General features: G+C 37.3%; 1 long non-coding RNA gene across 1 annotated transcript in view; it reads left to right on the top strand.

Annotated features, from left to right (window-relative positions):
- Positions 1 to 14,781, top strand: part of LINC01179 (long intergenic non-protein coding RNA 1179) — a 78,140-nt gene extending 63,359 nt beyond the window's left edge. The window contains exons 5-6 of the long non-coding RNA NR_121676.1: positions 6,804 to 6,989; positions 13,259 to 14,781. This is a non-coding gene — a long non-coding RNA (long intergenic non-protein coding RNA 1179). The remainder of the gene's footprint in view (positions 1 to 6,803; positions 6,990 to 13,258) is intronic.
- Positions 14,782 to 26,476: the final 11,695 nt, after the last annotated feature.

The raw sequence follows: 26,476 nt of genomic DNA on the forward strand, positions 1-26,476 counted from the left end.
ACTTTAACCATGACCATAACCATAACCATAACCATAATGCTTCTTATCTTTACTGCCCTCCTCTTCAGCTTGGATTCCACGGTCCCTTTTTTCAATTACTCTTTTCTTCCCTCTGAACTCCAATTTCCTCTGCCTTTTCATTGCCTTTATTTAGCAAAACTAAATCCTAAAGGAATGCATTTTAGAATGACACTTAAGGAAATAATAGTAGGACAAAGTAACACTATAAATTTATCATTATCGTCTAGGTCATTAGCAGTGCCTGCATAGCCCAGTATATTTCTCACTCACTAGCCTCAATTATTCACACTTTTCTTAACTTTTTCTCACTCTCAATTTACACCATGCCAGACCCATCATTTTTCAGACCCAGATGAATTCACTTTCTAAAGAGAAAAATAGAAGGTATCATATGGATATACTCTTAATTCCCTTAATTGGATAGCATTTGCACTCATCCTGTTATTCTCTTGTTTAAAGAGGAGAAACGTTGTCCCCTCTCCCTTTTAAGATCAGTCCTTTCACAACTGCCCTAAATTCAATTCCCTCCCACCCTCCCAGGGAGCATGCAAAGTCCATTGTCTCTTTTCTCTCCTGTGTAATTAATCCCCTTCTTTCTCAAATGGCTCCTTTCTGTGAACATTTAAAAACTTCTTTTCATTTTTAAAACAAAACAATAAAAATACAACTTTCCTTGAACCCAATTTTACCCCTATCATCTTCTGTTTCTTGACTGTGACAGTCAAATTTCTTGAGTATCCAAAGTGCATCTGTCCTCTTTTTAACCCCGCATTCTCTCCTCATCAGACTCGAGTCTGCCTTATGAACTTAAGTACTATGTACTTACATGCTCCACTGACAAATCTCTTACTACCATCAACAATGACCTCCCTGCCACTCAATCCAAAAAGCAGTTTTCTATTCCTTGGCCTGGTTTTCTCTGAGTAGTGCTGATCCCTTTGGGTTAGAAGTTAATATAAAGTAGTAGTTAAAACTGGACTCTGGAGTCAGACGGCCTGGGATGGCTTGCTGGATCTGCCCAGTACTAGCTAGGATCTCAAGCAATTAATTAAAATTTCTTTGTTCCTCTGTTTTCTTCCACGTAAAAGAGAAATACCTGCAATAATAGTACCTTTTCCTAGGACTGGCATAAGAATACAATAAATATTTGTGAAGTTCTTTGAACATAGCCTGATACCTACTACATTCTCAATAATGTCACTTTAATTTTATTGACACACTCCCTCCTTCTTGAATAACTCTATTCTTAGTTTCCCAAACTTCACACTCTGTTCATTTTGGTAGAATGACTATTTATGACTGCACTGGAGAACATACAAAAGGAAAATGATATGCTCAGGGGTTTAATAATGTCAACTGAAATAGAAAGCCTCTCCGTGATCCTAAAAAATCTCTTGCTTTTGTACATACGAATTTATTTTTGTTTGTATGCACCAGGGTAGATATGGCTAAAAATTAAACTCAACATTTAAGTATCTGGGTTAGTATAGAATTACCGTGTAAGAGGTATTCACAGACTTTCCAAGTTTCCTAAGTGGAAAATTAGGGCATTGATTATGAAGAGATAGAAATACTTAGGTACACATGCATAAAAGTGAAAATTGTGAATCTACTTTAAGCATTCTTTCAATGGGCTGCTTATTTTCTTTAAGGCCTATTCCTATCGCCCTTATTGTGTCTAGACCTATAGCTAGAGAAATCTGAGTCCATTTCAAGAGAGACAAGTGAATAATCCAAGCTAGGAAGAAACAGGTTATACTCCAAAGATAGCAATATTATTCTAAATTATATTGGCATAAACCTAGGGGAGCTACATGGGAATCAATTAGTAGGGTGTTAAACCAAGGAGCATAAAACACAACATTGGATCAGACCAAATTAATCAACGCAGGTGCACTTGTTCCAGATTTAATATGGTAGGTTGGACAGATAAGAGTGTTCTCTTTGTGACTTCTTTCTTTCTACATGTCTTAAGGTCCAGCCCTGCTTCCTGTTAGCACCCTAGACAATATTACCAATACTTGGTTTTATATACTATTTATTTTCCAATAACCTTAAATATATATATCTCACTGCCATTTTTTTTCTCTGAGTCCTAGACCTTTCGATTTCAAAGAATCTTCTCAAAATCTCCATTTGGATATTTGAGAGAGAGAAATTTTAAAATCCATATATCCAAAAATAAACTCATCATTCCTCTCCTAAAGATGGACACCCTAGAGTGCTCCTCTCCTACAAATGGCTAGACTATCCACCCATTCACGTAAGTGAGAAAACTGGGATTGACTCTCGTCACTTCCTTCATCTTCACTGCCAATAACCAATCACCAAGTCTTGCTGTTTTACCCACTAACAGCTTTCTAAGTCATTCACTGTTCTTATTTTCACATTTCCTCATTCCTCAAAGATTTCAGCACCTGAAACACTATCACTCTTTTCAACATGTGATATCTGTGTAGATTATCTGTCGATATCTTGGACTCTAAATTCCTTGGCAGTCTGTCTCCCAGTGATCTTTCTTGTACCCTATCCCAGACGCTAACATTCAGGGTCATGCTGTCATCTTTGTCAATGGCAGCCCTGAAGTTCCTCCAAATTTTCAGTTTCAAGCATCACATTCTCCAGCTGACACCTCCTCTTTGCCTGCCAATGCTTACTAGAATAGAACTCTAACAATTATTTCACCAATCTGGTGCCCCAGCACATCAATCCTAATAACTCTTTTCTCTCCTCATGTCCTCTCCTTTCTCCTTACCCAGCTTAAATTCATGGCAGTCCTTCTAATTATTCTTTGAAACTGCTCTGAACCCCTTTGCTTTCTCTCACTTTTGTGGTACTTTTGGCAAAGCAACAACCTTTTTAAATTATTTGCCTAGTCTCTGCTTGCATCAACACAGATTATCTCTCCTTTTCACAGAGATTGGCTAAAACAGTTCACCAAACGTATTTTCCTTTCCTTTTTGGTACAAGGCTAAATGATGTTTCCTGGGTTCTGTTCACCTAAGGTGCAGCCATGACATTGAATTTTAGCCAAGACAATGTGAGTAGAAATGATGCATACTACTTCTAGGACTGGCATAAATAAAATTTATGGAAATCTTGCATTTTCTCCCATCCTCAATTTTCCAACGGGGTATCAATTCCCAGGACAAACTTGAAAAACATGTGTTGAGTTTCTACTGGCCAAGATCACTGAAAGACTCAGTTGTATAATCTAGGAGTTCATCCTCATTATGTCCCATTACCTATTAGGCTTTATGTTACTAGAATAGAAATTTCTGTTGTATTAGGTTACAAGATTTCAGGATTTATCTGTCACAGCAGCTAGCATTACCTTAACAAAACCACTGTAGAGCTATGCAAACTCAGCTGCTAATTGGTCTAACTTTTAAATTCATAATCACTGATCTTAATTGTTTCCCAGCATGAACACTAGAGTCTTCTAATCAGTCTCCTACTCTCCTAGATAACAGTTCATACTTTTTTATTCTTTCCTTGAAACTCACACCTGAATGTCTACAAATCCCATCATTAATACCTTCAAAATATATACAGAATGTAACCACTTCTTTATCCCCATCTATTTTGATTGAAATAGCCTCCTAGCTGGTCGATCCCTCAGTCAATTCCGACACAACAGCCAGGTTGATGCTATCAGAATGCAAGACAAATCTTTTGAGATCTCAAAACCCTCCATGACTTCGTATCAGTTAGAGTCTAGCCAGGAAAATAGGAGCCACACTGGATATCTCAGTCTAAGAGGTGTTTTCCACAGATGTTGGGTGCCTGAAAGAGAAAAAGGGTAACACAGAGATTTAAAAACTCAGGCAACAGCTGATACTGCTGGTTGTTGAAACAAAAGGGAAGGGGTGGGGTTACCAGAATCTAGGAGCTTAGAAGAGGGGCTCTGCAGAGCTGGTTCTATACTTCTAGGAAAATAGCCACTGCCCTAGAGCTGCTGATTCCTCCGAGAGTGTGCCACAGCGCTGTGCTGGAAATGCCACAACTCATGGGAGGCTGGATCTAGCAATGCCGTCAAAGACAGGAAAAACAGGAAGGAAGTTCCTTCTGCTCTTCTCTCTATGCATCCTGCAGATGGAACCTAAAAGGAAGCTTGCTGGCAAGGGTAACTGGAAAATGTAATTTTCAGAGTCCTCCCAGCATCACAGAGTCACCTTCTTTGGTTTCTCAGCACTCCTAATCGCTCCTCTCCATGTATTTTAACTTCCATGCAACAACAGTTAACAACTTCATGCTTCCACCTAGCAGGATGCAACTCTCTTTTACATAAATGAAGTCATTCGTACTTTCTTCCACATATAAGAGACTCAAAGTCCTAACATTTACTATGCCCCATCTGGGAGTGGTGATAAATCCTCTTTTTCAGTTGCAATCACATCAACAATCCTTACATGAAGTAATAAGGGATGAAATAAAGGATGAAAAAAATCCGTGATTCCTATGGCTTCACTTAGACTCACTGGTGAGTCCATGGTCAGCTGCTGGGCTGACTGTGCTGGTCTTTGGACCCTCTCACGTGCCTGGGGCCTTGGCTATAACAGCTTGTCTCTATTCCACATGGTTTTTCCTTCTCCAGATGGTGGGCACAGGCTTTTCTCCATGGAAGTTGCAGGGTTCCAAGAGAGAGAGGAGGAGGATACAAAGTCTCTTGAGAAGCAAGCTTAGAACGCACACAATGTCACTTATATTCTACTGGCTAAAGCAAATCACAAAGGCATCCAAATTCAAGACATTGAAAAATAGATTACACCTCTTGAAGGGAGGTACTGCAAAGATTGCTATTTTGCAATATGCTACATGTATACATAATCAAGAAAGAAGACATACATAGCTTTCCTTTTTCCATTACATTTTACCCTTCAATTGACCACTGTGACATGGATTTTTACTTGATTCCATAGGTACCCACTTTTTGAGCAGTGATCCAAAATGATTTTTGAGTCCCTAGAAGCATTGATTTGGTCTAGTGTACGGTCACCTATCAAATGCAGGCAGGCATGTCTCAGGAAGATCTAGAAAACTTTTACAGTATTCAGTTGTGGCAGTGTTGAAGAGTACTTTCTCAAAAGGACCCAGTCTTCCTTTTGATCAAAGAACTCCAAGTCTGTGAACGCCTTTAGGTTCGGGAAGTAGATGAGAAATTGTGAATACTCAAGTCCGATTTCTGCCCATCAAACATAGAGTTCTCTTATTATGCTGATTAAGTAACACTTTAGAAATCTGCTTATCTATTTTCCTCCTAAGTCATTTCATTTCTAAGGAATTAAGTGAGCATAGACAAAGGTCTCTGCAGGTCAATTCTGATTTCTAATTCTTCCTCGCTATCTTCACAGAAATTACATAACTCTTACTTATTGAAGTGAGTATTACTTCTTGACTTCACTACTCTGCGATCCCATGATATACATTGAAATTAGGGATCCTTTTTCAATAATAGCATCTGCCCTTGCCATCTTTACCCTTCAGAGGATGACTGCCATTGAGCTTTACAAAGATACTGGCACACGCTCTAGAAAAAGGGATGTCTTCTGGGCCCTCTAAACAAATAGAGAGGGGTGGTGGGTGTGCAAGTTTCACGAGTAAAGTCCACTCTAACATTCCTACATCCCTAAGCCATTTTTGACACCAGGCCAGGAAAATTCTCATCCAACCTTCCTGCAAGAAGGCCACCATTGAATCCAGTAAATTAAACAATTGTTAGAACAATTTTAGTCTGCTCAACCTATCATATTAAATCTGAAAGAAGTATACCTGAGAAATTTTATGTGCTACAATGTCACATTCCATTCTTTTTGGTCTAACATGATATTATTATACATATGCTATAATCACATATATCCCCTAGGTTCATGTCAATATGATTTAGAAAAATACAGCAATTCTTTTGGAGTATAACTTATTTCTTCTTACACTGGATTTTTCACTTGGCCCTGTTACTTAGATTGCTTTAGCGGTATAGGCCTAGACACAGTAGAGGTGGTAAGTCTTGAGGAGAATAAGCATCTCGTTGAAAGGAATGCTCAGAGTGGATTCAAGGTTTTCAACTTTATGTTCCATCAGATATCCCTATTTCTTTCCAATCAGTCTTAATTTTCACTTAGGACACTTGCAAAGTCTGTGAATGCCCCTTTCATTGTAATTCCATAACTGACCTAAATAGTTAAATGTTGAATTTGGTTTTCACACATATTTGCCCTGCTATATACAAACTAAAATAAATACATTTGTACAAAATAAAAGATTCTTCTAGGATCACAAGAGAAGCTTTGAGATTATTAAATTCTTGAGTCATTTTCCTTTTGTATAGTCTCCAGCACTGTCAGAAATAGGCATTCTACCCAAAAGTCATCACAGTCATTATTACCACCATATCTATCACCTGCAGCAGTCATTTTATCCCCCAAGATACTCATTTACATAAGCATTTTATCCCAAGCAATCCCAGGTAATAATTTAATTAAATATTGCATGCCATGTCAGCATCCTCATTTTCTACTGATCAAGAACTTAACATTAAGTTCAAGGTCAAGGACGTATCTTAAACATTTCCATAATCCCATCTTTGAGGGTTTTCTGGCATCATTCCCAGTACCTGACACTGTAACCATCAGGAAAATAGAAACCACCTTAAGGATTTGGAACAAAGGGCATTTAAGCAGAGAATTAGTAACATAGGTGTTTGAGAGCTAAAGAACAAAAATGGAACATTTCAGTAACCTGGATATTAAAAACTAAAGAGGCTGGCATCTCTACATCTTTAGGACCAAGGACAGAACCCAGAGGGCTAACAAAGAAGCACCATGGAGTTGGTACACAGACCTCTGAGAACGGATCCTAAATGGCTATCGCTGCTACCTGGCATCTCACCAGAGAACTGGTTCTGGAAGCTCTCAAGGAAGGTTGAAGCTTTTAACTGCTACTGACCAATACAGGAAAAACAGAAATGTGTAAGTCCCTTCTCTCTTTTCCTTGCCTTCTATCGGCAAAACTTAACGGGAAATCATTTGACTAATGGGAAAATGTAGTTTACAGAGTCATCATAAAGAAGAGTACTGAAGGGTGCTTTGGAACCAAGAGCTAATAGGTCAGTAGCTGGCACAGACTCGCCATCTCACCCAGAATAAAAGCTAAAATCCTGTAGTGATCTATAGTTACTACATAACCCAGTCCCTTGTCACTCTCAATTTCATCTCACTCCTCCTGCTCCTGCCATAGAGACGCCTTGATCCTTCTTGAACACACTAGGCATGTTCTCATCTCACACCCTTCGCACTCAGTGTTCATTCTGCCTGAAACGCTCTTCCCTGAGATCTTCATGGCTCACTCCCTCATTTCCTTCCATTCAATCATTACTCTCTCAGCGAGGCCCTCCTTAGATTTTCCTCCTACAGTTTCACCTCACAGTGGCATCTTATTTCCCTTTTCCCTGCTTTCTTTTTTCCATATGTACTTATCATCCTATAATATACTATATATATGCATATATTTTTATTTATTTTATTTTATATATATATATATATATATATATTTTTTTTTCTTTTTTAAAGACAGAGTCTTGCTCTGTTGCCCAGGCAGGAGTGCGATGGTGTGATCTCAGCTCACTGCAACCTCCACCTCCTGGTTTCAAGCGATTCTCCTGTCTCAGCCTCGTGAGCAGCTGGGACTACAGGTGCGCGCCACCATGGCTGGCTAATTTTTGTATTTTTAGTAGAGATGGAGTTTCACCATATTCATCAGGCTCATCTTGAACTCATGACCTCAGGTGATCCGCCCGCCTCGGCCTCCCAAAGTGCTGGGATTACAGGTGTGAGCCACCGTGCTTGCCCTAATTTTTGTATTTTTAGGTAGAGATGGGGTTTCGCCATGTTGGCCAGGCTGGTCTCGAACTCCTGGCCTCAGGTAATCTGCCCACCTCAGCCTACCAAAGTTCTGGGATTACAGGCATGAGCCACCGCACTGGGCCAATATACTATATATTTTATGTATTGATCTTATTGTATGTCTTCTCCAGTAGAATGTGAGTTCCACAAGATAGAGACTTTTATTTGTTTTGCTCATGGCGGAATTCCAGTGACAGAACAGTGCCTGGCAAATATTTGAAATTAAACAAATATTTTTTGAATTAGTGAATATACTAATACAACCCTCATCCTAGACAACACTCACCTGGACACATCCAGGAGTCTACTAACTGCTCTCCCTTAATTCATTCTTGTCTCTGCCTATCCATTTGCAATGCTGCTGGTATAGTAATTTAAATAAAATAATTATACATTAGACTACATTCTGTCCCTGCCTCTTCACCTCAGTCATGGCTGTATAGCTAATATTGACTTATTTAAGTAAACTCTATTCATTCAGGGTTTCCTTAATCATTTAATAGTGAGGATTTCTACCTATGACAGTTATTCAACAGTTTTTCACTTGACTTGTGTTTTTAGTGATCTTTTAAAGAAATCTTTGCAAAGTCTCTCATTACCTAATTTGGCTTTGATACTATAAAAATCAAGTGGATCATTCAAAATCTGATCTTTTGTATGTAGACACAAGATGAAAATATGCCTATCTTAACACAAAAGTTATGCTTTCAAAATGTTGCCTGTGAATCGATATATATGTTAAAGTCTAGGTTTTTATTTCAAAGCTTATAATAAATTGAATATTCATTCTTTTGGAAAATTCTTTGGGAATAAGACATAATAAAATCTCACTTAAGCATTCATGAAAACAAAAGTTGCCTAAATCGTAAAACAGAGATGTATATTTTATATTTTGCATAGTAGATTAAAAGTCTAAAGGGGATCATTGTTTAACAAAATTTCCATCAACCCTTGTCTTACCTCCAAAATAGAATAATATGTCCCCTTTTTTGTCTGTCCAAAACCTATTTCTTTGCTCCCTGTAAAAGCTGTATACTTGTAGAAATGAACAGATTGATGTAGTCTGATGGAACAATAAGATGCAGCAGGAATCCGGGCAACAAATGAGCCTGCCTGCCTGGTTGTTTTTCTTTACTCTGAACTACTGTATTGCTTGAGCTTTGCTTATGCCAAGCTAGTGGTTGGATGTGTGTGCCTTCTCTTAGTGAATTGTAACAGCCTGGAGGTCAAGGTTTTACTTACTTTGTGCCCCACAGAAGGCTTTGCATGGGGTAGGTACTGAAATTGTTTGTTATAATTAGTTTAAAAATTGGACACAGAAAAAATATATGAAGCAACTCTATCAACACATTAATGGAAATTTTAAAGCTAAATGCAAGTCTTCAGATTCAATGCAAAGAATGAACACCCAGAACACCCAGATTTATCAATTATGTCAAATTTGGTGTTCTATACAATGAATTGGGCTGATAGCCATAGACATTTGAGTGTGTGTATGTGTGTAATGGTTCAAGCTAAGTTGAAGGGAAGGGTTTTGATAATTCTCAAAACAAGGCTGGATTTTTTTTTTTTACAACATAGAAATTACTGTCTTGCTTCAAATAATACATTTGAATATAAATGCATGCATGTTCATTTCCTACCTTCAGCTTCTCCCTTGCAGGTCTGGGGTCCTAAAACATTGCACGACTGTGTTTTCCTCCAGCTCAGGCTTCTCTACCTTTCTTCCTTTGGAGCATCTGTTATGCAACGTATTGAAAAGCAAATTGCCTGTTTTGGAAAGGGTGATTTCCTTTTGAGGCCATCTTAATCTCCAAGGAAAATGTAGAGACACACAAAAATATGCACAAACAGCTGGAGTACAGGTTGACGTTAGTGAAACCAAACCTTTTTTTAAAATATATTCAGAAATGTGAGTGAAGTTACTTTTTGTAAAACTTCCCTGCTGTCCTCACAGCACAGCATGCAGCTCTATGAGGCTGAATATGCTTTATTTTCACACAAACTTTTCTTAACATGGGTCAGTATTGACAGTGTAATCTTTACAAAATATGCCTCTGATGAAGAAAATAAATCCTCCACTTCTAATAGCAGGGTTGTAAAAAAAAATACAGCTCAAAACAGTTCAAACAAGTTTCAAACAAGGAAACTTGTTTGAAATACCATGCTGCCGAAACATGTAAGAATATACTTACTTTTTAATCTCAGAATGACTTTCACTGGTTTATCTTTAATGTAATTATTTTTAGCCCTTATGATTTAAGTTTGGCTTCATGTGATCCATCTGGTTGGATCAGAGCCAATACTTATATGTTCCTCTCAGGTTTACTGAGTGCTTACATAAATATTATCTGGCAAAGTAGGTATTTCTCTTATCCCCATTTCACAAACATTTGGTGATTGCTTTTGCAGATGTTACCCAAAGATGTTACGGTAAACTCTAAAAATTCAAAAAACTTAGTCTATCTAATTGTTCTTTTTCATGAAGTGTCAGACATTTGTTTATGGTAAATTTATTCCATTGTATTTTTGTAAACCAATTAAAGTGGAGTGACAAAATGATAATAAATCTAGTTTATGTCTAAACATGTGACAATACTCTTTCATCACTGAAGAGATGTTGTTAAGAAATATATTTGGCTACCAGTAGTTATAGCCTAAACAAGAGACATGTAGCTTTGTCTCATGTTAAAGAAATCTGAAAGCAGGCAGCTCAGGTTGAGGAAACCACGCTATATATATTATATATATTGTGTATATACTATTTCTTAGGGAACTACACGTTCCTTTCTGCTCTGCCATTCCCAGCACACACATGGTTTCCATTTTCAGGGCCCAGGGTAGTTTTCAGAGCTCCAGCCATCTTCTGCATCATTTTCTGTTAGGATGCAGAAGAAAAGGAAAGAAAAGCAAAAAGGTTTTTTCAGAAGTCCCACCCAATAATTGTTCTATCTACATTTCACTGGACATCCTAGTTCCAGGGGACATGGCAACAGTAGATTCCGGGATGGCTCATCATTGCAGGGCTGAGACTGGGGATTTGTTATTGAAAAAGAAAGGATGAATGGATTGGACAACAAAACTTGCTGTTTTTGTCACTCTTCCAGAAAGGGTTTCTCTACTTTTAAGAATAGAATCTATTGAACCCTCCAAACTATTACCCCACATATTTTTTTAAAAAGTCCCACTAATGGTTTAAAGAGTATCCTTGGTTGAATAAAAATGTAATGGAAAAAACAAAATTAAGATAAAGCGAAGGTGACAGTTGAAAATCGAAAAGTATCCACCCCAGATCAGAGACTATATAATAGCAGTGAAAAATGAACTAGAATTTAGTAAAAATCTATGTTATTCCTCTACAGGAATCACTTCCTGTAGGTATCTTGAGACTGTTAAGGAAGCATGCTTAAATTATGACTATTGCTCTATGGGGTTCTGAGAGCTAGAAGGAATGAAAACATCCAGAGTCTTACACATTCCCATCATGAACATGACTTAAAGTCTAAAATCATTATACTATTGACATCGAACATTAGAAAAACAGTGAATTATTGAAAATCAAATTAACTCCTAATCTCAAAATTTACATTATAAACATAAAAATGTGCTAGAGCACGTTAGCAATTCAGTGCTAGTAAATTAAACAAAAGCAAGATAGGATTTAAAATACAGTTTTATTAAGAACCGACTGATTGTGAAAAATCATATAAACATTCCCTTATACTACTTGGAGAAAATGAGTGGCAAAAACATATAGAAACGCTAAATAATGCATTTTAGGCATATGTGTGTGGTATATAAATATATAGAAAAAGTAATAAAGCAGCCACATTCCCTAACCTGGTAATTCTACTCCTGGGAAACTCTTTTTGAAAAAGATGGATCCTAAATCCTGAAAAAAAGGTTTGATGCACAATCTTTACAGCAGCAGGATTTGGAAGTAAAAAATTTAAAATAGCTAGCTGTTCAACAACAGGATAATAACTTAGGTAACTGGTGATACGTTCACTTACTGAAAACAGTATTGCTAATCAAGTAACTGAACATGTAAGAAAAGGTCACAAGAGAACTCTAAGGTATCACAGAGGTACAGACTGCAGGGAGCTCCTGGAGCTGGGAGAGAAAAAGGAAGAGATTGAAGTTGAAACTTAGCACCTTCATGGAGGATCCCTGTGGACCCGTAGCCCAGACCTCTGAAAAGTCAGCCCCCTGGCTGAGGCTGATGTTTCTGAGGTGTTGTGTGCTGAAGCTGGTTCTCTTAAGCGTGGGAACAACTGCAAACTGCATCCACCCACTGCTCTGGCAGGGCGCTGCCATTTGTAGGGTGAAAGAAGCATCTCTGGATGCTACGTAAGAAGTAGATAGAAAGCACAAAGGAAGGAGTTCCGTCACTCCCTTTTCCTGTAGAGCTCAACACTCCCTGAAGCATCTCCTCTAGGCAGAGCCTAACAGGGAACCAGCTATCACAGCAGAAACTCCTGGCCCCTCCCTGCACTCTTAACAGCAGGTCTTTTCAGGCTGTGCTTGGCCCATCTGGATGCCTACCTTCTCCTTCGTCAGCTCCTAGGGCTTCTGGAAAATCAAGAGTGGGTTAGGGGTGACGGGGAGCTCCCTGCTTCCGCAGGGCTGAGTAGGAGCCTATCCTTTGCTCAGTGGGCAAGGGCCACCTTGGCTAAGGTGCCCCACAGAACAGATACCCAAGACTGGTAGGGATGGGGGAGAATGTTCCCAGCCCTCCACAGGGCCTATGGGGCTTTTCCCACATGTGCCACTGCCTGCTGCAGGCAGGATGAGACACTGCCCACCATGGGGGCCTCCTGCTCATTGTTACCATCAACAGTGGGCTTTCTCACTTTTAACTGTGCTGGATCCAGTGGTCTGCAGAGTCCCAGAGCCACCACAGCAAAACTGAGTATAGAAGGCTGGTTTGGAGGTGAGAGGCAATAACTTAACTGGCACAGCCTTACTTATTGCCTGTCTCTAGCTAGAAAATAGACTCTTCAGGGACACAGTAGCTCCAGTTCTTAGAGCAGTGCCCGACCCATGGCAGGTGCTCCATAGGTATTGCTGAATTAATGAAAAGAAACTCTCTGTTATTGAAGGAAGGGGTAAATTGTGAAAAAAAATTATGGCATCTTTATTTCTGCCTTTGGAGTTTTCCTAATTCAGAAATTCCTCTAACAAAGGAAAGGTGCAAACCAAGAGAACGCCTCCCCTCTTTCCTGTTCTACTTTTTCTTAACTATGTGTGACTTCAACAAGTTACTTAACTGTAGGAACCCCGGTTTTATAATCCTGAAGACAGAAATAGCATTTACTTTTTTTTTCTCTTTTGAGATGGAGTCTCACTATGTCACCCAGGCTGGAGTGCAGTGGCGTGATCTCGGCTCACTGAAACCTCCACCGCCCAGGTTCAAGCAATCCTCCTGTCTCAGCCTCCTGAGTAGCTGCAACTACAGGCACCTGCCACCATGCCTGGCTAATTTTTGTATTTTTAGTAGAGACAGGGTTTCTCCATGTTGGCCAGGCTGGTCTCAAACTCCTGACCTCAGGTGATCCACCCACCTCGGCCTCCTAAAGTGCTGGGATTTCAGGCGTGAGCCACTGCCTTCAGCTGGAAATAGCATTTACTTTAGAGTGTGATTGTAAAGATTAGTGTGATAATATGTACAGAACATCTTATATTCATGGAGGGCACACATTTGTTCAATGAATTGTACTGATGAGATCACAAATCACATTTCCTCACCCTTCAACCACTGCGCATCCAATATCATTTCCAAGTAGGTATGATTTCTGAATCATAATAGAAACTAACACTTCTTGGGTATTTCTGTTTTGTGCCTAGCACCACTATAAGTGTTTTACCTATATTAACTCAATTAATTCTCCCAAGAATTTATGAAGTAAATGCTTTTATTTTTCCAATTTTACCGAAGAGGAAATTAAGGCAGAGAAAGTTAAAAGAAAAAAAAAAACCTTATATTACGTAGCTAGAAAGTGTCAGAGCTAGGGTTTGAACCCAAGCAATCTGGCTCCAGAGTCTTAGCCACTGGTACAGTGATTCTTTAATAGGACTACTAATAACTATATTCTTATTGCTAACTATTCTATAAGACTTCTGGGTATTTACAGGACTGTCTTGTGTAATTATTAATAGGGCACTTTACCCAATTCAGCCAAAATTCCTAAGGAGAATCATTGACTTAGAAAAACCACATCTGATTGAATTGAGCACGCCAAGAATGAGGAGAGATGGTGTCTCCTTTCACAAGGGTATCTGGACAGAGCTTAAAGTGTCAATCTAATTATAAACTGTTATTCTCCTATTATGGAAAAACCCTGTAATTGGATACTAGAAAATTCTCTGTAAAACCTTGTCCCTCAGGCAAGGCTTAATACTGGTCTCAGAAGCCCAGTTAAGTATGTTTTAAAAAATTGGTTATCCTTAAAAATACTGAAGGGAAATACTTCCCATTAATGCAGTTGTCATTGGATGGTAACATAATAGGTAATATATATTTTTTTCTTTTTTAAAAGTCTTTTATTCAAAATTTTTCTTAAGAGGAAGAATTGTTATAAAAACAATGTATTTCTTAAGTATAAGAAAACATTTCTACAAAAAGTAGAAATTTTAGATAAGTAAAAATAAAATGAATTATACATAATTAATTACACCATTGCATGTTAAAAATCTGCTATATTTTCCAAATTGTTCTAATGTAAGGATATTCATAAATTGTGTGAGTCTGTATAAAAGATGGAATCATATTCTTCATGTTGCTTTCTATTCTGTTGTGCTTTTCACTTACAAGAATACTGTGAATATACTTCACTATGAATAAATGCACATGTATGTCACATTTTGCAATATATTTACTGTTATTAACATAATATATTTTTTAACCATTCCCTTCTTATTGGATATTTAGGTGGGTTCCACTTTATAGCTATCATAGCTCTAAATTTATACATTTTTTTCTCACTTCTCTTATTAGTCTCTCAGGACAAATTCCAAGAGTGGAATTTCTAGGTCACATTTAAAACTCTGAGTTTTTAAATGTGTATTGACTAATTGCCCTCCAGTAAAGTTGCTGCAAATTATTCTTCTACCAGCAGTGTCTTAGAGTTACTGTTTCCTTAGAGACATGCAATGTTCTTTATTGTCTTTGTCAGTAAGTCAAGCTAAACAAATATTTAAGCTTTATTGTTTATTTCTTTGATAACTGCTTCATGTGCTCTTGTCATTTGTGCATCTTCTGTGAATTGCCTGTTTTTGTCTTTTGCCCATTTTATTTATTGAATTGCTTTTTTAAAAACTGATTTGTTCATGCCTGTAATCCCAACACTTTGGGACTCCAAGGCAGATGGATCACGAGGTCAAGAGATCGAGACCATCCTGGTCAGTGTGGTGAAATCCCGTCTCTACTAAAAATACAAAACTTAGCTAGGTGTGGTGATGCCCACCTGTAGTCCCAGCTGCTCAGGAGGCTGAGGCAGGAGAATCGCTTGAACCAGGGAGGCAGATGTTGCAGTGAGCCGAGATCACGCCACTGCACTCCAGCCTGGTGACAGAGTGAGACTCAGTCTCAAAAAAAACAAAAAACAGCAAAAAAAAAACCCTGATTTGTAAGAGTTCTTTATCTTCAAATATTTTTAATATGTTTCAAAAGCTTTTACACCAGCTGATGAATTAATTATATTGAAATTCCTATTCATGTTTATTCCACACATTACATTTTAAAGGAGAAATCAAAGGCATATCCAGTCCTGGAGTGGACTCAATGTCTAAGCAGAGACAAGGGTAACTTGGCACCAACGTTACAGGAAAAGACAGTGCTGGGCTCATGAGAGACTCTCAGGAAGAAATGCCAAGAATTCAATCTGGGCGAGAACTATTCTCTTGGGCACAGTGAAAAGTTTTCTCCTAACCATAGTTTCTTCATGAAACAAAACTAAAGATTAATATCAAACTTCACAGTGTATCCTTCCCAGTTCCTCTCTGCCTGGTTAGGCTTATTCATCCCTTAGATCTCAGCTCAAGCACCATTTCCTCAAGGAAGTTTTCCCTGACCTTGCCTACTAGGTCAAACCTCCTTTTTATGTTCCTGAGACAGTGTAGTTTTTTGCAGTACTTCTCACCGTTGTGATTTTACATCTATTTACCTGATTGTTTGATTCATACCGCTCTCATTTATTTGAATGGATTCTCCCTGAGGGCAGAAACTGTCTGTTTTTGCAACTCTTCATCTCTCAGCCTGCCACAAAGGAAATGAATGACAAAGATTCGTTAGATAAATTGTATGTGAAAATGCACTTTAATTATAATTAATATCCAAAAAGAGTGAGTTCAGCCATTCTACATGAATACTTTTGACATTATCATGAAGTGCTAATTTGAAGAGCCACTTCCGATACTATCACACAGAAAAATCTAAACTCAGGAGATCATAATTTAACAGCAAAATCAACACTCTATTGCCCCAAGTGAACAGAACACATTTTTCCACCTAAAATTCTCGGCAAACAAGTTCGGTTTAAATAGACCTTTCCATGAAATCCCTCATTATATAACTTTTTAAAATGCCATTGGTTTGATCCATAGGGACATAAAAATTAAAAGAAAAAATCCTGTGTACCTGTGCAGTCCAATACAATAGCCACTAGCACCTGTGACTACTGGGCAGTTGAAAGGTTGTTAGTCCAAATGGAGATATGCTGTACTTATAAGATATACACCAGATTTCAAAGACTTATTATGAAAAAAATGAATAATGTCTCATTATTTTAAAATATATATGTTTAAATAACACTGTTTTGGATTTATTTTTTATTTTTTGTTTTTGAGATGGAGTCTCGCTCTATCACCCAGGCTGGAAGGCTGGAGTGCACTGGTGAGATCTCGGCTCACTGCAAGCTCTGCCTCCTGGGTTCACGCCATTCTCCTGCCTCAGCCTCCCAAGTAGCTGGGACTACAGGCGCCCGCCACCACACCAGGCTAATTTTTTTGTATTTTTAGTAGAGATGGGGTTTCACCGTGTTAGCCAGGATGGTCTCAATCTCCTGACCTCATGATCCACCTGCCTCGGCCTCCCAAAGTGCTGGGATTACAGGTGTGAGCCATGACGCCCGGCCCTATTTTGGATTTATTGAGTTAAATAAAGTATATCATTAAGATTAATTCTGCCTGTTTCTTTTGACCTTTTTATTGTTTCTAGGAGAAAATTTACAGTTAATATTTGACTCACATTATATTTCCATTGGGTAATGCAGCTCTTTGGTCTAACTCAGATGGAAAAACCCCTACCTTGTTACAATTTGTTTTACACCACACTCACCTATTGAAAACTGGGAAAGCTGCCAAAGAGATATTTGAGTAACAGCAATCTGTTACAAGAATCTGAGTAAGAAAACTTACTCAATGGGAGTCCTCAAGTCTCCACAGCATTCATTTTCTCTTATTTCTACCCATAATTTAACACATTCATTTATTAACTTTCTAAAGTCAAAGAAAGAAACGAGAAATGTTGAGAAAGGTGACCAATAGCTTGCACACTTCTATCTGAGGATTCAGACTCTTAATCCTTCACATTTTATTAGATGGCAACCTTGATAACAAGATAATACAAATACTATGGAAAGATAGAACAACAAATCTAAGCTGTTGGGGCCTGCATAGTGTGCATAGTTCAGGAACAAGCGGGCTTTTGAATGTAGTTCAGAATAGTCATTGATGTTAGAAAGAGTTAAGTGATTGATCATAGGACATACTTCATTTAACAAAACAGGATAGTGACATTATATCAGAGGAAGAGTTCTATCCAAAGTGGTGAAAATAAAATATTGAAATTCAGTAATTTTGTTTACTAAGAGTAGCTTATTCTCCCAAGGTAAAGGGGAAAATAGGGATAGATGGAGAGAGGTAATAGCAGATAAGAAGAGGGTTTTGCTCTGGTTAGTCAAGGCTTTATTATTAAAGGAGCTCCCCTGAAAAATTAGGCCTCTTTTATTTACAACATATGCATTTTTAGGTCAAGCATATGTTAGATTAACACAGTGCTGTAAAATAATGCCTTCATATTGATAGCAGCTATTGCAACACACTTATTAGTAGGAAAATGTTCTGCCCTGCCCCCTGAGTCAAATACCATCTTCCGTGGGCTTTTGTGACAAGATCTTAATGGAGCCTTTGGATTATTATACACTTTGGCCTAAGCAAGTGAATGACCGCTAGGTCTGTTCACTGACTTCAAATCACATGTTATCAGTGAAACCTTCACTGCTGGGTTTCCTTTCATTGTATCTCCAGGCTGACCGTTTCCTGTCAATGTCCTTAGAACGGAGAATATACTGAAAACTAGGGTCAGCCACTCAGCCGCTAGCGCTGCACTCTGGCTTTGGAAGATAAAGTCATTTTTATTTTGTTTTGTTTCAAAATATTATTTTTTTCTTTTTTTTTTAAACCCAACATTAGATTTTTCTGTGATTTGTTTCTTGTTAAAAATCAGCAAGGTACATTTTAAACAATATATAGCATTGTCTAAAGATTTATCAATAAAAAAATTAATTTCTTATTGTGCACGTTATGCCTTATTCAAGAATTTGCATGCTCTGTCCAGCATACAGTCTTTGAGGCTGCACAGAGTAGAGGCAACTAAAATTCGAATATGAGCCTTGTAATATGATAACTCATGAAAAGCTACTAATTTATGTGTGATGATTAGTTAATGGAAACTGACTAATTTTTTTTAAGTCCAAAGTGTATTTATTATAACTATAATGCAATATCTTTCAGACTTTGTGTTCATAAGCTTGTTTTTTTCTTTCTTATTTGTCTTTTATTTTTGAAAACATAACTGAGTTATTATTTTGAGCACGTTGGGGGAAAATAAGCATATCAATAAATAAAAGAAGGTAAACAAATCCCAAGACATAAATATCAAGAAAGGAAGACATTAACTGTCCCAGGTCGGGAGAGAACAGTTAGCACAGCTGCTTGGAAGTGTGACGATCATCCTCACCCTTCAGGCTCATCACATTATTAGAATTATTTAACGGTCAAGGTGTGAAGGAGTAGGATAACCAGCTCTCAGTAATTAGCACTATACAACCTGTTTTGATTGGAATGACAGAAGGAAGTAGAAGCTTCTTCGACATGGGGGGAAATGGGATGAAGTAGGCAGCAGCAGAAATAAGTAACTGCTTATTTCTGAAAAGCTTTGTTATTGTGGTGTTGTCATTGCTACCACTTAAGTGAGCTCCAGACCATGTTTCCTGCTCCACGAGGAGAGAGCTGTTCTCATGAGCAAGGAAATCAACTGATAGCAGCAAAAAATTAAAAAAACAAAATCTAGAAAAAGGATCCAGTCATTTTATGCAGTCACATAGTAAAGAATATCCTTAATCAACAGCTCCAAATTAATTGGCAATAGGCAAAATCACAGTACTGGATTTGAACACGGGTAGGTTAACATAATTTTGACAGGTGCAAGAAAGGGCTCTCCACAGAGAGACAGTGCCTGGGCTGGGCTCTCTGAACAAGCCTAACCCAGGGAAACTGTACTATAATATAAAAAGAAAAGAGAACAACTCACACGCAGTGGCGGTCTGAAGAAAACATTTCCTACTTTCCGTTTGAGTTCAGAATAAGCCCCGATCAGGACTAAGATAGGAGAGAAAATTGATCAGTTGCGTTGTTGTCCTCAAATTAGTTTTCATATGATTATTTTGTCTTTTTTGTTTATTTAATGTTTGGTTGGCTGATGTTTTAAATGGAGCAAGTTATTCTATTTCCTTACTGATTGAATGTCAGTTGAACTACTTTTGGCTTCTAGATGGAAATTTCTGATTCTCTTGCAATTATCCACACTAGTGTGATTTTTCTTTCTCTTTGGAAGTTCCAGGGTCCCTGACTCTCTGTTATATGCACTCCAGGGACAGATGGCAGAGGAAGACACCACCTGTCTGACAAAAGACATTACCTGGCTGGTGCTCTGAGTGTCATGCTGAGTAGAGTAGCCATCACTGAGAAACGCTCAGTTGTTATTTAATTGTACATTCAGGCACCTAATTTTATTTAGTTTTGCCTTTAATCACTTATATTTTTTAATTTGCCTTACATTTTAAAATTTGATGTATATGTCTCTGCAAACTGTCAACTCCTGGAAGACAGAGACAGTGTCATGCTTCTTTCAGAACCTATAAATAACAAAAAACACAAGAGAATTAAATAAATATTTGATAAATTACATTCAACACTGGACTGTAATCTTCATGAAGGCAAGTGTTGTGACCATTTTGTTCACGGTGATATTTCTAATGCTTACAATTATTCTTGGTCCATTGCTAAGTGCTTCACGAATATTTGTTTAATAGATGAATAAATAACGTTTTCAAATTGTAAGTTTTATTTTCAACTGAGGTTGAGGTTGCGGTGAGGAGAAAGAAGAGTGGAAGAGGGACATTTCCTGTTCCTGGATCACATGAGGGCCATCTTTTCACAGTTGGTTTTCTCTACCTTATTGGTCTATGATCAAAAATAAGGGCAGATCCAGGAAGCTTGCATGAGATCTAGCTGTTTCTAAATCCTCAGAGCTGGGATGTATGCCACCACTCACTGCCCCATTCCCAATTACCAATTATTTCATCAAAGGATGGACTTGGGCTAAACATCTCCCTTTGTTTTGGTTAGGAGGATCCGCTTATATTTTCTGGTTGAGTAATATTGTCCTTTATGAAATATAAAATGTGCAATTTTGATCATTTTACACTTTCAGCATGAAGAAAAAAATATCCTGTCTCTGTAACATTCTTTGCAAGGATATTTACTGCTCATGAGTACATAAGGACTTAGATTCATACACAAGGCACACAGGTTTCACCCACAATTTGTTAGTTCTACTATTTCCACATATATTTTATCTGATCTTATTTTCACACATATTAGATTAGAGATCAAAATCAAGTGTCATGCCTTAGACATTTTTATATCTCCTGCCTGGAACAACATGTGTTCATTAGTATTTGTTAAATGTGTGAATGAATGAATGGTCATTTTATTTTCTCTTACTATTACCATAATTTCCTTACCCCTTCAGAGGAGTTGCTATTTTTCTGAAAATATGCATTTCTCCTCTGATTCATATTCATGTCTTGTATTTTAAGACTTCATGCTGAGAAATTCTAATTGCCTATATCATAATGTTGATTTGGCTACTCAGAATTTTCTTAACCTTGGTTTGTTACAGCAAGTTCCCAGCATTCCCCTCAAGTTCCCAGATTCATGATTGCCTCATTAAAATCAGAACAAAATATAGAGAGGACATTTTACATAGACCCCTTGTTTGGATTTATTTATTTTTTCAATTTTTCCTCTCTTTACCAACTAGTACTTGGAAACAAGTACTGTAGCTAGAAAGTTGAAAAAAAAAAAGCAAGCTGTTGAATGGTTATTTCAAATTACAATTTGACTTTTCCTGGAGATAAAAGTGAAAAAGAAAAAAACCTTAGTCTGACTGTGATCACCTAATATACTTAGAAATATATTTAGGAATTCATTTAGAAAATACAAATAAAAATAATGAATATTGACGCATTAAAAAAATAAATGGCCTTAACCTCTGAGTTTACAACTTAGGTCTCTTATCACAATTATTTTTTGTTACCAGAAAGATAACATTTTAAATAACTGTGCCCTTTAAAACATTTATATTGTTTTTCTTCACAGTAGTTAAGATAAGGTAGTGCAGGAGTTCTCCCTAATTTTTAGAAGTAATTAGAACCAATTAATTGATTTGGGAAGTTCTCAACAAGGTACTATTATTCTGATTCTAGTACTTTTCCCTCTAAGACTCCTAGACCCTCCTATGAAATTCTTGGAACTTTTTTTTCAGAAACCTTATACTTTCCATCCTAATCTACAAATCTAACTTTTGGAGGTAGTTTTTGAATACACTCCTTTCTGTTTTCCAGTTATAACAATAGGAGATGAAATAATTCAGCTTGGAATAAAAACACTGAGAACTTTCACAGAATTGCCACATAGGTGAAACTTGACCTTGGTGCCATTCCTAGACTTGTCCCTTCCATCTGGCCCCCATCCTCTAGATCTATTTCAAGCCAAAAGGCCTCATTCTCTGAGCTGGTTCTTAAGTGGCATGGAAAAGATGCTGGCTGGTAACTTAAATTGTATCATCCTTAGTATCATTTTGTATCAGAAAATTTATAGACCATATCCTTGAAAATTCAGAATAAATGACTGTTCATCATGGAATTTAGCGGGGCAATATTGCAAGCATCCTGCAATGACCACCTGCCCCAGATCCTCAGAACAAATACTTTAGGAAGTATTGGGCAGGTGACACAGTTGTCTTAAGCTTTCAGTTATAAGAAATACAAGTTCTGGGAATCTAATTTACAGCATGGTGACTACACTTACTATCCTGAGTATTTGAAATTTCTAAGAGAGTAGATCTTAAGCATTCTCACACACGCAACAGGTAACTGTGAGGTGATGAATGTGATAAAACTTATTGTGGTAATCATTTCTCTCTCTATATATATGTACATGGAGATCAAATCATTACATCGTACACATTTATTTATTTATTAATTTTTGAGACGGAGTGTCACTCTGTCTCCCAAGCTGGAGTGCAGTGGCATGATCTTGGCTCACTGCAACCTCTGTCTCCTGGATTCAAGTGATTCTCTTGCTTCAGCCTCCAGAGTAGCTGGGATTACAGGCGTGAACCACCACACTTGGCTAATTTTTGTATTTTTTGTGGAGATGAGATTTCACCATGTTGGCCAGGCTGGTCTAGAACTCCTGACCTCAAGTGATTCAACTGCCTTGGCCTCCCAAAGTCCTGGGATTACAGGCGTGAGCCACCACACCTGGCCCTGTACACTTGAAATACACATTTTTATTTGTCAACTATACTTCAATAAAACTGGAAAAAAATTTTTTTCACAGGAGTCACAACGTACAGGGACAACAACAACAAAACACCAAAAATCCTGCAAATTGCTTGCAAATACTTCTCAGGATCTTCACTGGGTGGTTTTGTGTATATATAGGAAAAGGGTGGATGGGTGATAAGGAAAGCAAGAATGAGGAAAGGACTTGGTGGTATTTGTATCCATCTACAGAAAGAAGTCAGCTATCAGACTCCGGAAACCCAAACAATTTTCTGATGAAGGAGAGGCGTGGTATGACAATTGGCCCTGACCTCTGCACAAGCGATCACCAAGATTCACTGATTCTGCAGCTGTAGAATCAACTCCCAGACTAAGTTATCTAAGAATGAAACCTCAAATCTTCCACACTAAAATCACCTTTAAAAACATAAGCTCTTTAAAAAAAATAATAAGAGGTAACTTTTCTAAAATATTTTGTATAAATATTTTATAATTTGTGTGTGTGTATGCACATTTGTAGATTTTTAATTTGTAGGTACTCTTTATTTGCATTTTTTCACAAAAAAGCCTTCCTCTAATATTTATAAATAAATAAATATAGTAAAGAAAAACGGTTATCAGTATGAACAATAAATACAATTTTTATGCAACTTAACTTTAAAGTATCTAATCTTTGGAATTCTGGGTTGTAATGTGGAGAAATAATGACATCTGATTTGCCTTCCCTGTCATTCCATAAAATATTCTTGAAACCCAAAAAAGAGAAATAGTGACTCAACATTATTTTTATTCCCTCAGTTTAAAATTCTTCTTTAGGCTCCATTTAATCAGCTCTTACCACTTTCGTCTTTTAACTTTTTTCTTTCTTTCTTTTTTGAAATAGGGTCTTGCCCTGTTTCCCAAGGTGGAGTGCAGTGGTGTGATCACAGCTCACTAGGCTCAAACCCGTAGCCTTGAGCAATCCCCTCATCTCAGCCTCCTGAGTAGCTAGGACTACAGGTGTGCCCCATCACACCTGGCTAATTTTTAAATTTTTTTAATGGAGAAATGGGATCTCTCTATGTTGCCCAGGCTGGTCTCAAACTCCTAGTCTCAAGCAATCTTCCAGCCTAGGCCTCCCAAAGTACTGGGATTACACGCATGAGCTACCTACCATGCCCAGCCTTCTTCTTTTCCATTATTTTCACAATATTTTGTAAGTCCAAAAAATACATGTGAAATAGATTTGATTTACAAGGCATATTGACAAAACGAACCAGCACATATCCAATACTCTACACTCTGTTCCTATCCGTTTTCCCTGCCCCACCTTCTAGGTATAGCCATTATTCTGAATGTTTGACATCGTCCCTACCAATTTTAGTTGTATTACATGTGTGTACAGCCCTGAATACCATATTGTGTATTCTTCCATTATTTAAAAATGTTGTTACACAGCCTTCTGGAATTTACTTTTTCACTCAACATCATATCTTTGAGAGTCATCGTTGTTGTATGTAACTGACTTACAATGATTTGTTGTATGCATATACCGTAATTTATTTATCCATTCTGCTACTGGTAGATATTTGAGATCACTCAGGTTTTTGATACTTGAACTGATTATGTGAATAATCTTTTATTTCTGATGCACATATACAAAACTGTCTCTAAAGTAAGTCCCTGGAGGAATTGTGGAGTTATAGTTTATCAACACTTTTTTTTTTTTTTTTTTTTTTTTGAGACGGCGTCTGGCTCTGTCACCCAGGCTGGAGTGGAGTGGCGCGGTTTCGGCTCACTGCAGCCTCTGCCGCCAGGGTTCAAGCGATTCTCCTGCCTCAGCCTCCTGAGTAGCTGGGACTACAGGCCTGTGCCACCACGCCCAGCTTGTTGACCAGGCTGGTCTTGAACTGCTGACCTCAAGTAATCCACCCGCCTCGGCCTCCCAAAGTACTGGATTACTGGCGTGAGCCACCGTGCCCGGCCTGAACACTTTCAATTTTAGTGGGAAGTCTTCTCTTTTTTTTCCTAAATCTGTTGCTTTTATATCTTCACCAATACTTGGTATTATTAAACTTCTTGATTTTTGTCTGTCTAGGGAAATGAAATAAAATATCATTCTGCTATTAATTTGCATTTTCCTGATTATTAATGATGTTAGATACCTTTTCACTATTCTTGTTTCCTCTTTGGGGAAATGCCTGTAGTTATTTTCTTCCTATTTTTTTTTCTATGGCATTATCTGCATTTTACTGATTTATAGAAAATCAGTACATTTATAAATTACTCGTATATTCTGTATACTGTTTATTGGTAGTGTGTTGTAAATAAATTCTTACGGATTGTGGCTTGTTTTTTCACTTCACTTATGCTGTCTTTCAGTGAATACAAAGTATTAAAATAGTGTGGATTATCAGTCTTTACTTTTGTAGTAAGGTTTTTTGTGTTCTTGAGAAATTCTTCACTACTCTGAGAAGACTGGATTTTCCCACGACCATGTTTTCCTTCTTTTTTTTTCTCTAAAAGTTTTAAGTTTGATTTTCACAAATTCTTAATCTATCAGGAAATGATTTTCACATGTGTGGTGAGATAGGGATCCAATTTTATTTTTTCCACATGGACACTCAACTGTCCCTGTTTACTGAATAGCCTCCCTTTCCAGTTATTAAATAGTATCCTTATCCCATATAATACATGTCCAAATAATCATGGATCTGATTCTGGGTCATCTATTGTTTCACTGACCAATTTATCTATCACTGTGCCACCCCACAGCTTCCAACTTACTAGAGCTTTAAGTAAAACAGAATAGTTACAAGGCAGGTCCTCCCACCTTATTCTTCTTTCAGGAATGTTTTTTTGTTTCCTTGGCTATTTGCTTTTCACTTAAATTATATAATCACTTGCTATAGTCTACAAAAAGCTCTAGGGACTTTGATGAGAATTACATTAAATGGATAGATAAATTTAAGTGAGAATTAAAACTGTGATACCATGTTCCCATACAATAAAATTTATCTCCCGCACTTGTGTAGATCAACTTTAAAACCTCTCAAGAAAGTTTTATAATTTTCTCCATGAAAGATTTCCACAAGGTTTGCTAGAATAAGTCTTAGGGAACAATATATTTTGTTTTTATTATAAATAGTAACATTTTAAAAATCTGTTTTAAAAAAATTAGATATCTGAGATTAATATAGAGAAAATAAAGAGTATTTTATTGCTAATCATATCACTAGCCACAACACTCAATTCTTATAATAGTCTGTATATTCGTATGGGAGTTTGTGTGTGTGTGTGTGTAAACAAATTACATCATTTGAGACTAATGACAGTTTTGTTTTTTTCTTCTCAGTTTATGTGACTTTTATGTCTTCTTCTTGCTTTACTATGCTGGCTAGGACTTCCAGTACCATGTTTAATGGAGTAGTCATATGATGTGTCAATGTGCTCATGATTTAAAAATGAATTTTTCTAATATTTTATTATTAACAATGATGTTTTCTTTAGAATTTTGGTGAAAACCTTATCAGGTTAAAAGAGTTTCCTTTTATTACTTGTTTGCTAAAAAATTTTATCATTGACAGTGCTGAATTTTATCAAATTCTTGTTTTGCATGTACTTAATCTTTAATGTGGTGAATGACATTTACAGTTGTTT

The sequence above is a fragment of the Homo sapiens genome, chromosome 4, assembly GCF_000001405.40.
Source record: "Homo sapiens chromosome 4, GRCh38.p14 Primary Assembly".
Taxonomy (NCBI): domain Eukaryota; kingdom Metazoa; phylum Chordata; class Mammalia; order Primates; family Hominidae; genus Homo; species Homo sapiens.